General features: G+C 48.7%; 2 protein-coding genes across 4 annotated transcripts in view, besides 1 other annotated feature; one reads left to right on the top strand and one right to left on the bottom strand.

Moving 5' to 3' along the window:
* The window catches only part of CDKL5 (cyclin dependent kinase like 5), a 228022-nt gene extending 216655 nt beyond the window's left edge, over positions 1-11367 (top strand). For both annotated transcript variants that reach the window (NM_003159.3, NM_001037343.2), the window contains 3 exons: positions 3745-3828; positions 8148-8330; positions 11170-11367. In NM_003159.3, the coding sequence (NP_003150.1) occupies positions 3745-3828; positions 8148-8330; positions 11170-11282 (380 nt within the window). In that variant the 3' untranslated portion in view covers positions 11283-11367. The remainder of the gene's footprint in view (positions 1-3744; positions 3829-8147; positions 8331-11169) is intronic.
* The window catches only part of RS1 (retinoschisin 1), a 32421-nt gene that overhangs the window by 2575 nt on the left and 14684 nt on the right, over positions 1-15162 (bottom strand). Inside the window, exons 3-5 of one of the 2 annotated variants that reach the window (NM_000330.4) lie at positions 14391-14496; positions 4929-5070; positions 2168-2363 (exon numbers count right to left, since the gene is read on the bottom strand). In NM_000330.4, the coding sequence (NP_000321.1) occupies positions 2168-2363; positions 4929-5070; positions 14391-14496 (444 nt within the window). Of the gene's footprint in view, positions 1-2167; positions 2364-4928; positions 5071-8033; positions 8378-14390; positions 14497-15162 lie in introns of those variants that run through there. The other variant, XM_047442337.1, reaches the window with a different exon arrangement.
* Positions 7069-7817: an enhancer, noted in NCBI's record as "H3K4me1 hESC enhancer chrX:18667451-18668199 (GRCh37/hg19 assembly coordinates)". NCBI's record gives its function as "activates a minimal SCP1, AML or CMV promoter by ChIP-STARR-seq in primed H9 embryonic stem cells {active_cell/tissue: H9 hESC(primed)}" and the evidence as "EXISTENCE:reporter gene assay evidence [ECO:0000049][PMID:30033119]".

Consider the following 15162-nt stretch of genomic DNA (forward strand, 5'->3'; position numbering starts at 1 on the left):
AGTAGTTAAAGCAGTTTGCGGGTGCCCCCCAAAATCTGACCTTGAGTGATTGTCATCACACCTACATGCTTGGGACATCTGGAACTGCACCATCCAATAGGGTGGCCACTAGCCAATATGTCTGTTTACACTTCAATTAATTAAAATTAGATAAAAATTCAGTTCCTCAGTCACATGAGCCACATTTCAAGTGGCCGCCATATTGGACAGTGCAGATGTGAACATTTCCATCACAGAAAGTTCTATTGGAGGGTGCTGCTAGAAAATGCCACTTGACTCATCGCTTTTGAGTTTTTATCCTTTGCATTTTGACATTTTGAAAAGGCCCACATCACACTTACATGTTCCAAAGGTATCCAAAGTAGGGCTCAAGTGAAAACCCGTGCTTGGCTCAGGAGTTGTAAGCCAAAACTTAAATGTGTATTCCTACTTTGATACAAGTGATGAGTACCTTTCCAACTTGGAAAATGTTTTTTTAAAAAGACATAAAAACTTGGCCAGGCGCAGTGGCTCACGCCTGTAATCCCAGCACTTTGGGAGGCGGAGGCGGGCGGATCGTTTGAGGTCAGGAGTTTGAGACCAGCCTGGCCAACACACAGTGAGACCCCGTCTCTACTAAAAATACAAAAAAATTAGCCAGGCGCAGTGGCAGGTGCCTGTAAATCCCAGCTACTCTGGAGGCGGAGGCAGGAGAATTACTTGAACCCGGGAGGCGGAGGTTACAGTGAGCTGAGATCACACCGTTGCACTCCAGCCTGGGCAACAGAGTGAGACTCCATCTCAAAACAAAACAAAAAGACATAAAAACTCGAAGGAAGATTCTGGAAAGGGGAGGGTGGTGCCAGAGTAAAGAGAAAGGGGGTTTGCTTAGTGTTTTTAAGGATGTAACATAAAAACATGCTGTGGGTGTTTGACGCCATTTCCAAAGAAATCATTCTTTGCCCTCTTACCAAAGTCATGGTGCTCTGCCTGATGCCACTAGGACATTTCATCTCCTTCTGGGATTATCTCCTGAAAATATCTGGCTGTTGCATTTGGCCCCATCCATCCACAAAACGGGAAGGGCCTGGTCTGCCATGTTCTTGCCTTTCTCCGCAGTGGCACCGCCCCACACCACCCTCTCTATTGCAGTTTGTCTTTGAGCCTATTCAAGTCAGGAGCCAGGTGAAGAGAGGGGAGGGTGGAACAGGCTCCACCAGATTGCACAAGTGCAGGGGTGAAGTGCCTCTTTGCAAAGAACCTTCAAGGCCTTCAGAAGCACAGGGCTTGAAAAACTTCTCATGTCTTTTGAAGAGGCCAGCTAATAAGAATAAAAATGAAATTAAATGTCCAAGTATCAAGATGGTTTTTCCTCTTGTGTTCAAACTCCTTGGAACAACCCATGAACGTCTTGGCCGTACAAATTGTCATCAGAGACTTACAAAGCCTTCTGAATCTCAGCTGTACATGTCTACTTAACCTGATTAAATGTTGAAATTAGCCTGGGGAACTCCTTACTCTTAGGCAAAAGGATGTTTACCATTTCCAAAGAGCTAGGGAGTTTTTAATTCATTTTTATTCATAGCAAATATATATATATATATATAGTCAGGAGTCTACTGCGTTTAGTCAATGGTGAAGAAGACTTCTGTCTCAATCCACAAAGATTAATAGGATGTAGAGTTGCCCAAAGGTTTAAGTTCGTCTGTGTTTGTGCTGGTGAAGTCCTTTTAACCATTTGGCTAATGGGTAACTTGCTAGGTTCTCAAAAGGCTCCCCTCTGTCAGTCTCAAACAATAGGAGAGGCCACATCTATATAAATGGATGATTCTCTACCCACATCAATAACATCAGACCATACCCGTGAAGCAAAGTGCATTCAATGATCCAGTGAGTTGAAATAGTCCAAATGGTCAGTCTTAAGAGTTCAGGCAACTGCATGCTGATATGGAAACTCAGACAAATTTTTTTTTTGAGCTTAAGAATAGCATTCATTTGCAAACAAACTGTGCTGGGCACCAAAGCAAGCCCAGGAAAGAGAGCACAGCACATTGTGGGGGAAAGCGCAGATGATCCACTGTGCTGTGGAGTCGGTGCTCTGACAGAGGGCAGTGACAGGAGCTCGGGGACAGGAGGGGAAGTCCCAGAGGGTGCGAGCTGAAGTTGGTTTGGGATAAGCCCAACTTACCCGGTTGTTTCCAGTCTGGTCCTTGTAGTAAATCCAGTTCAGGCGCTCATCGGTCCTGTACTGCACGCTGTACTTGGTCATCCACTCATCGATGTCACAGCGCCCCTGGGTGAGGATCCCTGAAATCACTTTGATCTCCTTCAGATCTATCTGTAACCACTGGCTACTGTCCTGGAACTTGGAGAGCCAGGCACACCTGCCGAGAACATACCGAGTCACCGAGAGACTCCCCCTGTGCATGTCTGCAAAAAGCCCGCAGGTGCTGGCTCTCGAGGGGATGCCAGCATCCAAAGAGCCCCCTGCCAAGCTCGGGCAGTCTGGGCTGCAGTCTGAGCCTTGTCTCCTAGGAATGGCCAGCTTCCGTTATACTTAACTTGCATCTCATTCTCCCTCTCCCTGCATCTCCACCTCCCAAGAAAAGATTTCCAGATTCGACTAATTTGTCAAAGAAATGCCTCAGAGTGTGGCTGAAATTGCCTTTGGGAGTGGTTGAACATGTCTGTCTGCAAAACACGCAGGTGCATGGCTGTTAGACCACCAGCCCCTGCCCTCTGCTTGAGACTCCCAGGGTGAACCTTTCTGCGCATTTCACTCTCTTCACACCTATTTGTGTTTCCCTCGGTTGGTGACATTCCTGCCTCGTGCAGAGCACTGACCCATGTGGATCTAGAAGGGCTTTGACAAGTGTCAAGCCAGATAACCGTTGAAGCAACTAAGTTGTTTTTTTAGCTACATTCCTCATAAATCGTGGAAACCTATAGTAGTTCCCCCCGCCACCTCCTTTTTTCCTTTTAGTGTGTATTTTAATTAGCTTTGTAGGACTTAAGCCCTGGGCCACCTTCTCTTCCTTTTCCAGACTTATTCCTTGGGTGGCTCCTGACTTTTCACTTCTATCCCACACCTTTTCTAAACCCCAAATCCAGAGAGTTCAGTTGCCAGCTAGAGGACTTCTGTATGCCTCTCAGCATCTCAGATGAAACACGTCCCAATGTGAGCCCCTAAGTGCCCCCACCCCACCCTGCTTTCAGACCCCACGTCTCTGAGTTAACCCCATCCTTGCATGTGTCCATGCCGGCCACCTGAGAACCATCCTGGGCCCCTCCTCTCCACCTCCAGTGCCCAATCTATCTATTGGCTCCATCTCCAAGTGCCTCAAATTCTTCTACTTCTGTCGGTCTCCACCGCCACCACTCTAGCCCGTGTCCCCCTCTTTCTTCCCACACCTCAACTACTCTCCCTGGATTGCTCTGGCCCCACAGGAACCAGAGAACTTTTCTTAAAACACAAATGTGCTTGCGATACTCTTCGACTTAAAATATTTATCCGGCAGAGTCTGCTAATTATCACCCGATACTCCCTTCCCATCCTCATTTGGTAATAGAACCCCTGAGTTTCATCTGGGCAAATGGCCATCTGGCTAAGATGGCATTTCCTAGTCTCCCTTGCAACTAGATGGGGCCCCCTAACCAAACTCTGGTCAATGGGATGTGGGCAGAAGTGGCCAATAGAATATGTTTGTGTTCTTAAAGGCAAGTCATGCGCACTCTGCTGCTCTTTTGTTTCTCCCCACTAACTAGACGGTGGATGTGATGGCAGAAGACAGAGACACCATTCTGGACCCCAAGATAGACGCTTCATGTTAAGGACGACAGAACAACAAGGTAGAGTCTGGGCCCCGCATGCCATCAAGCTGCCATAACGACCCTAGACTACTGAATGAAACTTTTTTTTTTCCTTTCTGAGACAGAGTCTTGCTCTGTCGCCCAGGCTGGTGTGCAGTGGCACACAATCTCGGCTCACTGCAACCTCCGCCTCCCAGGTTCAAGTGATTCTCCTGCCTCAGCCTCCTAAGTAGCTGGGATTATAGCCACCTGCCACCATGCCCGGCTAATTTTTGTATTTTTAGTAGAGATGAGGTTTCACCATGTTGGCTAAGCTGGTCTTGAACTCCTGACCTCAGGTAATCTGCCCCCCCTCGGCCTCCCAAAGTGCTAGGATTACAGGCGTAAGCCACTGTGCCTGGCTGATGAATGGAACTTTTAAGTGAGCAAGAAACACACTTCTACATTAAGTCACTGTACTTTGGTGCTCTTTGTTACAACAGCATGAACATGTATGCTAACTAATACGCACTCAGGGTCCTCCCATTATCCCTACAGTACGGACCACAGTCATTAACGTGGCTTCTAAGGTCCTGCACCATCTGACCTCCGCTTGCCTCTCCACCTTGTCTCACTTGTGCTTCAGGCTTGCTGCCCTGCTTATGTTCCCCATCCACACCCTGGAGGTATCATCCCGACTCAGGGCTTTTGCACCTGCTGTACCCCACGCCTCTTCCCCTCCCTCACCTGGCCAACTTCAAGCCACAGGTCAAATATGTTTTCCTTAGAAAGCCTTCCCTGGCTGCATGGATGAGGTCTTTCTTCCTTCATCTCTCCCCCAGCACTCATAAGTACATTCTGTGTCATTTGTTTATTAGAGAGGCCTATATTTTTTTTCATTTTTGAGACAGGGTCTCACTCTGTCGCCCAGGCTGTAGTGCAGTGGTGTGATCTCGGCTCACTGTAACCTCCGCTTCCCAGGTTCAAGCAATTCTCCTGCCTCAGCCTCCTGAGTAGCTGGGATTACAGGCACGTGCCACCACGCCAGTTAATTTTTTGTATTTTTAGTAGAGACGGGGTTTCACTGTGTTGGCCACGCTGGTAGAGAGGCCTATTTTTTTTTAAAAGCACATGAAAAAAAATCCCCGGGCCCTGCTTACCCAAAGCCTTGACTGTTGAGCCGGGCCTTGTTTGCAGTCCACGAAGAATACCAGCCCACATACTGCTCCGGGTTAGAGCAGGTGATCTGGTCCGGTGTGACCTCCCCTGACTCGAAACCCAGAGGCTTGTGATATGGGCATTCTGGGAAAGGAAAAAGAATTCACATTCACACATATCTCAATACTCAACAAGCACCAGGTGACTGAAATAACAAAACAAACCCATCTGCTTTGCGCTTCGGAGACGGAGAAGGCTTTACCTGTCTCTGTGGTTCACAATGGGTACAGCTGTGTCTTCAACGGTTCACTACTCACGCAAGAAAGGAATGAAGGATGAAGTAAAGGAATTGCCATAGAGACTCAACAGCCTTTGTAAAAGCAGAGGGAAGTGGCTCTATGGCAACTTCACAAGGGGTGTGTGGAATTTTGAGAAATACTTCACCTCCTCCACCAACTTAGAGATCTAAAAACCAAGAGGTGCACAGTGAAATACCATATTTAAATGCCATACATCTTTATTTCCCCCATTAACACAGATTTAGCCATCCTGCCTCATGACGTCAGGTCTCTTGTTGTCCTTGGGCAGCAGATCATGCCAATTATAGGGACAAAACCACAGTGAGACGCAAGAAGGGCGATGACATATTGAGATATAGAGAATGACTTCCTACTTGTAAATTGCAGTTTTCTCACCAGTCTAATGAAAAAAAAAATGGGTGAAATGTGCTTGGGGGACTGTTGAGTGAGAAACAGCTAAAAGGAACTGCTTTTTCCCAGTGGTAGTACCCAAAGGTGGTTCTTCTGTGTTGATTGTCTCCCCCTTCCTCTCGTCTGTATGTCCCCTCACAGTAAAAACGGTGTTGAGGCTGGGCACGGTGACTCATGCCTGTAATCCCAGCTACTCGGGAGGCTGAGGCAGGAGAATCGCTTGAACCCGGGAGGCAGAGGTTTCAGTGAGCCGAGGTGGTGCCTGCAGTGGCAGGCACAGTGTCGAGTTACCTGGTCAGAGGCTGCCAATTTTCAACCCAGTATTCATTCATTCTCCCCTTCTTCTCCTTTTTTTTTTCTTTTGAGACAGGGTCTCGCCCTGTCCTAGGCTGCAGTGCGGTGCTGCTATGTCAGCCCACTGCAACCTCTGCCTCCTGGGCTCAAGCGATCCTGCCACCTCAGCCTTCTGAGTAGCTGGGACCACAGGTGCACACCACCACACCCAGCTAATTTTTGTATTTTTTGTAGAGACAGGATTTTGCCATGTTCCCCAGGCTGGTCTTGAACTCCTGGGCTCAAGGGATCCACCTGCCTCGGCCTCCCAAGGCACTAGGGATTACAGGTGTGAGCCATCACACCCAGCCTCCCCTTCTTTTTGACTAAAGAGCTCTCCTTTTATTGGGAGCAGCAATGTAGCCAGCTGAATAAAGGGCCTTTCCCAGCCTCCTTTGCAGTTAGAAGTGCCCAGGTGACATAACTTCTGACCAGTGAGACATAAAGACTGCCTGCTGGGATTTCTGGTCAGGTTTTGCTTGCCCCTTCTTTTTTCCTGTTGCCTAGATCACATCTGATAGTTGGTGTGACAGTAACCATCTTGCACCATGTGGGTAAGGCCGAGAGAACTGCAGAGGCTGAGTGCAGTGGCTCATGCCTGTAATCCCAGTGCTTTGGGAGGATCACTTGAGCCCAGGAGTTCAAGACCAGCCTGGGGCAACATAGGGAGACCCCATCTCGTGGCTCACGTCTATAGTCCCAGCTACCGGGGAGGCTGAGGGAGGAGGATTGCTTGAGCCTAGGAGTCTGTGGCTGCAGTGAGCCATGATCACACCACTGCATTCCAGCCTGGGTGATAGACACTGTCTCAAAAAAAAAAAAAAAAAAGAAAACTACAGAGACCTTAGCCTTGATAACCTTAAGTATTATAACTCCCTACCCCTAATTTTTTTTACCATGTGAGTTAAAACTCCTAAATCAATAAGCCAGTATTTAGGGGGTCTTGTGCTTATAACCAAACCCAGTTCCTAACTGAATTTCTACAGAAAACAAATGGCAAATATATTTTCCTTTTTTGGTTAGAGACCTGGTCTCGCTGTGTCGCACAGGCTGGAGTGCTGTGGCGCAGTCATAGCTCTCTGCAACTCTAACTCCTGGGCTCAAGTGATCCTCCCACCTCATTCTCCTAGTTTTCTGATGATGAATGATAAACTGCAATTAAGGCAAATCATAGTATTTTCTCCAGAATTTTTCAAAAGCCAGTAAAGTTGAATGAAACATGCTTGCAGAGACGGCCATGCCCTGTCCCCAGAGGCTAAAAACAGGCCAGCTTCAGACCTCTGGCCGGGGAGGCTTAACTTCCTTTCTGCCCCAATGCACGAAAGGAATAGGCCTGATCTCACTAGTATCTGCAGCTCTGTGGGTCTGAGGGTGAGGGCACAGAATTTGTAGTTTATTGAGTACTCAAGTACTCAAGAATGCAGTTTCCAGGACTCCACCCCAGAGCAATTGCATTTTTAACAAGCCAACTTTTGAAAGTGCACCTTGAAAACCTTGGCCTGCCAGGGAAGACATTCTTTCTGTGGGCTGGGGATCCCGAGGACTGAGTGCCTGCGGACTCGAGGGCTCCTCCCCCACCCGCGACACCCCTCCAGCTGGGAAGACAAGCCCGAGCGATCAGGGGGAGGGGCACAAGGCCAGGTGGCAGGGATTTTTCATGGGCAAAATTCTAACCTTGGGTGTCTCTGAGGCCCCTCCACTTTGAGCATTTGATGACTGAACCTCCTTTTTGTTTTCCACCCCCACCCGCCGCCGCCGCCCCGCTCAGGGCTACTAGCTCTGAGAGAGTAGGCAGAGGGGAAGGGAAAAAGCCAGTGCCACCTCTCCCAGTCACCTTATTCTTGGCACTTTGCTCTTCTTCATCTGTTTCCCCTTCACATCTCTTTTGCCATTTCTTCCCAAATAGCTCATCTAACACTCCAGAGCGGTCTGTAGCCCTGCAGGGGTACCTGGCCAGGGCCAATGGCCTTGACAGCCTGGGAGGGCCTGTCCAGGCAGCAGAGAATGTGTGGCTCACTCTGCGATCTAAAGACCCGTGTGTCCAGACGTGGATGCTGTACTTACTCCCCAGGGAAGGTGACGCTCTCACTGTCACCTTGGCTTCAGCTGGTGTCTGGGAGCCGATGCCTGCCTCCCGGGCCCCAAGCTTCATTCCACTGCCCTCTGAATATTTTCCAGGAGAATACTTCTGCTGTGGTGACCCAAAGAAGCCTCACACTCCGTGCGTCCCAAACCGAGCCCTTCATCGTCCAATCTCCAGTCCTGCTCCCTATCCAGTACTCCAGGTCCGAGGCACTTCCATGTGCCCGACACTCCAGGTCCGAGGCACTGATGCTTTCAGCTGCCCAACCCAGCAATCCGGTAAGCAGAGACTCTAGACCGGTGGGGCTCAGCCTGGGCTGTACCTCGGAATTGCCCGAGGAGCTGTAGAAATGCAGATGTTCAGGCCACACCCCCAGGGATTCTGACATCATTGGCCTGGGCATGGGGACAAAGCTGCAGGTGATTGTAATGGGCAGTCAAGGTCAAGCAGGCCTGCGTCCAGCCAATGACACCTGGGGTAGGGGCCCACCCTCTCAGCGTGTGCGCAGGCCAGTTGCTTAACCTCTCTGGGTCTCAGTCTCCTCATCTGTGAAATGGGGGCATGATGTAGTACCTGTCTTCATAAAATTGCTGTAAGATTGAGTGAAACTATTTGGAGATTGTAGAGTTCGTAGAGCACAGCGTCTTGCCAAAAAGCAGCAGGTGCATGACATTGGTGGAGGTGAATTTGTGAGACTACGTTGATAACCTTCTTGAATTTTGCATGTTTTTCTGGCAAAGACTCAATAGGGAGGAAATCCATTGCCCCTCTATCCTACTCTGTTCTGTCCCCATTACCCTCCCCGTCCCCCCACCACCGCACCCCCCGCCACACCCTCCAGAGAATGAGGCCAGCTTCATGTGACTAATGAATGGTTTCGGCTGTCCTTGCCCCAGGCAGGAGCAAGTGTGTGTGTGTGTGTGTGTGTGTGTGTGTGTGTGTGTGTGTGTGAGAGAGAGAGAGAGAGAGAGAGACAGAGAGACACAGAGAGAGACAGAGAGGGATGTGAGAGAGAAACTTGTCGACAGCATCCCTTAAGCTTATGGACCTGGAAGATCTAGGCCTCACCAGGAATTAGCGCATTGCCCAAGAGAAGGAGGTCACAGCCCCAGCTAAAGTAGCAGGGATGTGGTGAGGGCCTGAGCGCAGCAGAGAGGGACCTGATTCCCCTGAGGGGCTGGACTGGGATGGGCTTGGGAGCCCTAAGCTCTGGGCACGCTCAGAAAACTTGGGAAGGTCCCTCGGACTGAGTATGGCTCAGAGGGAGAGGAGCCACCCATGAGACGTCTGCCTTCCAATGGGGCTGTGGCCAGCCTGCCCTCGCAAGCTCGTGGGGGGTTCATGTAGTCTAAATAGGGAGAAAAGACCTTCAAAAATCCTGTCTGCACACTCCTCACAGGCCATTACAATGGGGCACTCCGGCTGGATTTCTTCTAACGTGGAAAAATAGAAAATGTGACATTTCCCACACTGTGTGTGTCCTGAAGAAGAGCACACTCCAGTTCTCTTATTGTGATTTTTCCTGACTTCTTCTTCCCCTTTCCTCTTCCTTCTGTGGGCCTGGTTGAGCTCTTTTCAGGTCCACATGTGGCCTGCAGCCCTTCCCTGAGGCCATCCCCTCCCGTCCACACCCCTCCGCCTGGCCCCCCATGCCTCAGCCTTCAGATCTCTGCCCGCCCTGAGCTGGCTGAGGGGCCCCAGGTGCTACCTCCCCAGCACCCTTCACACCTGTCACGCACCCCTCCTCCTCAGGCATACTTCACTGCCATCTCCCCTCGCCTGCCTCCCTCCCCATTCTCCCCCTAGCTGAGCAGAATGCCCACAGGTGCTGGGCACTCTCTAGGTATTGACTGGACAGATGGATGGAGAGATGAATGAACACACACCATCGCCCCATCTTGGGTGGCCACTGGGGACAAGCATAGGAAATGGCATTTCGAAACAGGCAGCAGAGGCCTCAGGGAAGAAGTAGACACTGACTGCGACCTCTGGCCTAATCAAAAGAAACCATAAATTGAGTAGATGCTAGAAGGCAACATAAATAGTGTTGTGAAAGAATTAAGGGGATCCAAGGCTGGGTGCAGTGGCTCACGCCTGTAATCCCAGCACTTTGGGAGGCCGAGGCGGGAGGATCACTTGAGGTCAGGAGTTCGAGACCAGCCTGGCCAACACGGTGAAACCCCATCTCTACTAAAAATACAAAAATTAGCCGAGCGCAGTGGTTGGCACCTGTAATCCCAGCTACTTGGGAGGCTGAAACAGGAGAATCGCTTGAACCCAGGAGGCAGAGCTTGCAGTGAGCCAAGATCGTGCCACTGCACTCCAGCTTGGGCAACAGAGCCAGACTACATTTCAAAAAAAAAAACTAAGGGGATCCTTATCAGACACACACAGAATATGACCTTCCCAAGTTTTCCACCCAGTGTCACTTTGCTGTTGCAGCTATTAGACCTGTTTCTATACTCATTTCACCCTTAGGGAAAAGCCTACATCTTCTGTGGCTCAAATGGCTCTTCTGAGCCATGATGTGATCATGAGATAGATAAAGGCATATTTGCAATATGTTACCAGCCCAAGGCTGTGTATATTTCATATTCTAGCCTTTTTACTTTAGTGGCTACTTTCTGAGTTTGTAGGCAGGCTTATAAAGAATGCAGATCTAAAGAAACACAGAATTCAGGGACTTTCTTAACACAAGATTCCAGACAGATGTGAATAGTGTTATGCATAGATATTAGACTTGAATATATGTGACAATATAGTAGAGTACAGAAGAAAATATGTAGAATAATATTTCTGGAAGAATGGATCATAAGCTCAAGCATCATATAGAATAGAAAATCTAGAATCAAAAGGAACCATTAGCAAACCAGTAGATTTCTTATACTTTTGATAATTTCCCTACCCTATTTTTTGCTCTCAGAGTGCCGGGGTAATCTTGGCTCAACGGTGGAAGAGACAGAGCTTTTAGTATTTTTAATAGCATTAAAGTGAAGATTAGGAGGCCAGAATGCATGTGGCCTTCTGCTCCGTGGGGGGCCCGGGCATTAGCCAGAGTGCACCTGCTAGCGCTCCTGGCAGCTCTGAGTGACCCCGCTGTCCTTCTGTGCTTTCCAGGGTTCTCTTTCTTCGTGAGACACGTTATGAGGGAAGCCCTGATTCACAGGGCCCAGGTAAACCAAGCTGCGCTCCTGACATACCATGAGAATGCGGCACTGACGGGCAAGTGACTTCTGCAAGCCTGCGGCTGGTCCCAATGCCCTGAATCACCTCTCTCATGGAAGAACCAATTAACACCAATGAATCAACCATTAACGCTGAGGTTGAGTTTTCCTTTCTGAAAATATCTGTGTTGTTAAGATCAAAAACCAGGGCCAGGTGCAGTGGCTCACGCCTGTAATCCCAGCACTTTGGGAGGCCGAGCAGGTGCATTGCCTGAGCTCAGGAGTTCGAGACCAGCCTGGGCAACACGGTGAAACCCCGTCTCTACTAAAATACAAAAAATTAGCTGGGCGTGGTGGTGTGCACCTGTAGTCCCAGCTACTCGGGAGGCTGAGGCAGGAGAATTGTTTGAACCTGGGAGGTGGGGGTTGCAGTGAGCCGAGATCACGCTACTGTACTCCAGCCTGGGAGACAGAGTGAGATTCCGTCTCAAAAAAAAAATAAAAAAATAAAAAAAGAACAAAACCCAAAAAATAGTGGAGAGAGGAGAACACTTAAGCTAAAAGAATTTCTAATTTTAGAACTTCAAGCTCATGACAGCTGTGTAGGGGAGACAGCTTTGGGGACCAGGGTCAATATCACATCCCTCAAACACATGACTCTTCTCTCTCTCTTTTTTTTTTTTTTTTGGTGGGGGGGACAGGGTCTCTGGCTGTTGCCCAGGCTGGAGTGCAGTGATACGACTATGGCTCACTGCAGCCTCAACCTCCAGGGCTCAAGCGATCTTCCCACCTTGGCCTCCCGAGTAGCTGGGACTGCAGGCATATGCCACCGTGCCCCCCCCATCTAGAGATGGGGTTTCGTCATGTTGCCCAGGCTGCACATGGCCCTTTCTTGAAGTATCAAACTAGATTGGGTCGATGAAGCCAATCCACATAAACAATGTCTTTTCAATTTCTTCTTAGACAGAACTTACTTGGAATGGAATTCCAGGAGGTCTCATGTCTCTAGTGAAAAGAACATTCGTTACCACTGAATGGTAAATTTCTCTAAGGTGGAGACAATGCCTTCATTTCTGTCTCCTTGTCAGTGCCTGACACATCATAGGCACATGTTGAAAGATGGGTGAATTGAGTTATAAATGGATTATTAATGAGGGTGCGTCAGTATTGACTGAGCCAATCATACCAACATTTAATGGCTGCGTGAGCTCATGCCATGGAGCCTGAGGGGATGTCTGATAGGAAAAGCCCACCGGTTTCCTCACGATTGGGACCCCATAGTTCCCTTGGAAAACAAACTTAGTTCAGAAATGACTTCCCCTTCAGAAAATAGGAAAATCACGCAGTAGAAACCATTGTACCCTACCCTCCCACACACACATTGCAATTTGCTTTTTTAATGCATATTTAATGAAATAATGAAAAGAGCCTCACACACAGACACACAAACCTGTCTCTTGTGAAGCTATTATTAGGCAATTGTGTAAAGTAAATGAAGTGGCACAATACCATCATAACCCTGGAGAGGCAGCAAGGCCGGTTTCATGCAAAACAAGCTCTGAGCATGGAAAGGATTTAAGCATTGCAAATATTTGCAGCGACTGCCCAAGCCTCTGAAAATTGGATCTGCTCCCTCCCTCCTCAGTGTGTGAGCTCTTAGGAGGCTGGTAGGAAAGAAACCAACCTTTATTCAACAGTGTGCTAGTACCCCACAGGCTGCTTTAATGCCTCATCTTATTTATTCCTTGTTGACAACCCCGTAGAGCAGAGGTCAACAAACTATGACCCATGGGCCACATCTGGCCCTCTGCTTGTTTTGTAAATAAAGTTTTATTGGAACCCAGCCATGCTTGAGCATTTACATATTGTTTATGGCTGCTTTCCAAGACAAGAGCAGAATGGACTAGTTGTGACAGATTATTTGGTCCACAAAGCCACAAATATTTCCTCTCTCCTCCTTTACAAAGTTTGCTGGCCCCTGTCTTAGACACAGGCTAAATCAGCTGCAGAACAAATTGGCCTGGAAATTTCAGAGGCTCCACAAAACACAGGTTTATTTTTCACTCAGGCAACTGGTCTACCGTGGGTAGGCAGGGAGTTCTGCTCCACGTGATCAGCCTGAGACCAGGTTGCAGAAAAAGCCACTATCTCAACAGGTGGCTTCACAGCAGGAAAGGGAGAGCTGAAGAGTTGAGTGCCAGCCCTTCAGTGCCATTTTCAAAGTGGCCTGCTCACCTTGGCTGTAGCTGTTTGGATGGCACCACCTGATTAATTACAAGGGGGCTGGGCAATGGGAGGGAAGCACATGGCTGTTTGGTGAGCAAGCAGTATCCAGGCATGGTGCTATCATCACCTCCATTGGACAGACAAGGAAAAAAGTGGCAGTCCCAGAGTTCAGATGTGACACAGCCAGGATTCCAGCCCTCATCTTCCTGGCTCTAGAGCCTGTGCTCTTTTCAAAATTCCAGGCTGCCTAGCATTAATTTCTTTTCTTTTCTTTTCTTTTCCTTTTTTTTTTTTTTTTTTTTTTTTGAGACAGCCTCTCGCTCTGTCACCCAGGCCAGAGTGCAGTGGTACGATCACTGCTTGCTGCAACTCCGCCTCCCGGGTTCAAGCAATCCTCCCACCTCAGCCTCCTGAATAGCTGGGACCACAGGTGCAAGCCACCACACCCGGATAATTTTTGTATTCTTAGTAAAGACAAGGTTTCACCATGTTGCCCAGGAGAGTCTCAAACTCCTGAGCTCAAGCAGTCCACCCGCCTCAGTCTCCCAAAGTGCTGGGATTACAGGCGTGGGCCACTGTGCCCGTCCTCCCATTAATTTATTTTCAATCAGTCTCATTCATCGATTTCATTGAAAGTTAGATCCCATCGTACTATCCCAGCCTGGAGACATGGAGATCTAGGGAGCTGTTTCTGAACACTGACATCACGCCATGTGTTGAAGCAGGGGCCATTGTGAGATTCGAAGCTCAGAGGCCAACTGGAGAAAACCCGCATTAACATAGGCTTACTAATAGTAATAAATAGTAATAAATACACACAGCTACCACTCATCTTTCATTCTAAAGATGGGGGTAGCGTTCAGGGGGTTAATTCAGCTGAGTGGGAAAAAGGAAGAGAAATGGGGTGTTCCCAATGACTGTTCCATCCCAAGGACAGGGGATACTCACCTGGTATACAGTCCAAGGAGGTGGCACCTGCAGACCACAGAGCATTGGGTCCTCCTTGGCAATCGCACTTGCATGCTTTTTGGTACCAGGGGTCCTCGCCTTCATCCTGCAGCCAACCAGAGAGGCAGGGCAGAAAAGTCACGGTCAAAGGCAACTGTGGTTGCCCCCACGGAGTGATCACACTCAGTCCTTATGCATCGTCTATAGCAGCTTTGCTACAATGGCCAAATTGAGCTATTAATCCAGCCTCAATACACACAGCTACCACTCATCTTCCATTCTAAATAAGTAAAATGTCTGCCACCCTGGGCGACCAACTAATAATCTCACAGATACACCCATCTAGAGGGCACCGTTCACCCCATTATAGTTATCTTCAGGAGTGTGGGGAGCCCCAATCCAAGTTTAGACTCTTCACATCCCCTGGAAGTTCCTATGGGGAGATAGATTCAAGATTGTGCCATCTGATTGAAGACCTGTTTTACTTGCATTCTCTCATTCAAACACCAATCGTGGAGCTTGCCTAGGTCAAATGTGCTACAGTCACCATCACCAAAAAAAATACTTTTTTTTTTTTTTTTTTTTTGAGACAGAGTCTCGCTTTGTCACCCAGGCTGGAGTGCAGTGGTGTGATCTCAGCTCACTGCAGCCTCTGCCTCCTGGGTTCAAGCGATTCTCTTGCCTCAGCCTCCCAAGTAGCTAGGATTACAGGTATGCACCACTATACCTGGCTAATTTTTGTATTTTTAAAGTGGAGACAGGGTTTCACCAT

Source organism: Homo sapiens, chromosome X (genome assembly GCF_000001405.40).
Source record: "Homo sapiens chromosome X, GRCh38.p14 Primary Assembly".
NCBI classification, from domain to species: Eukaryota; Metazoa; Chordata; class Mammalia; order Primates; family Hominidae; genus Homo; species Homo sapiens.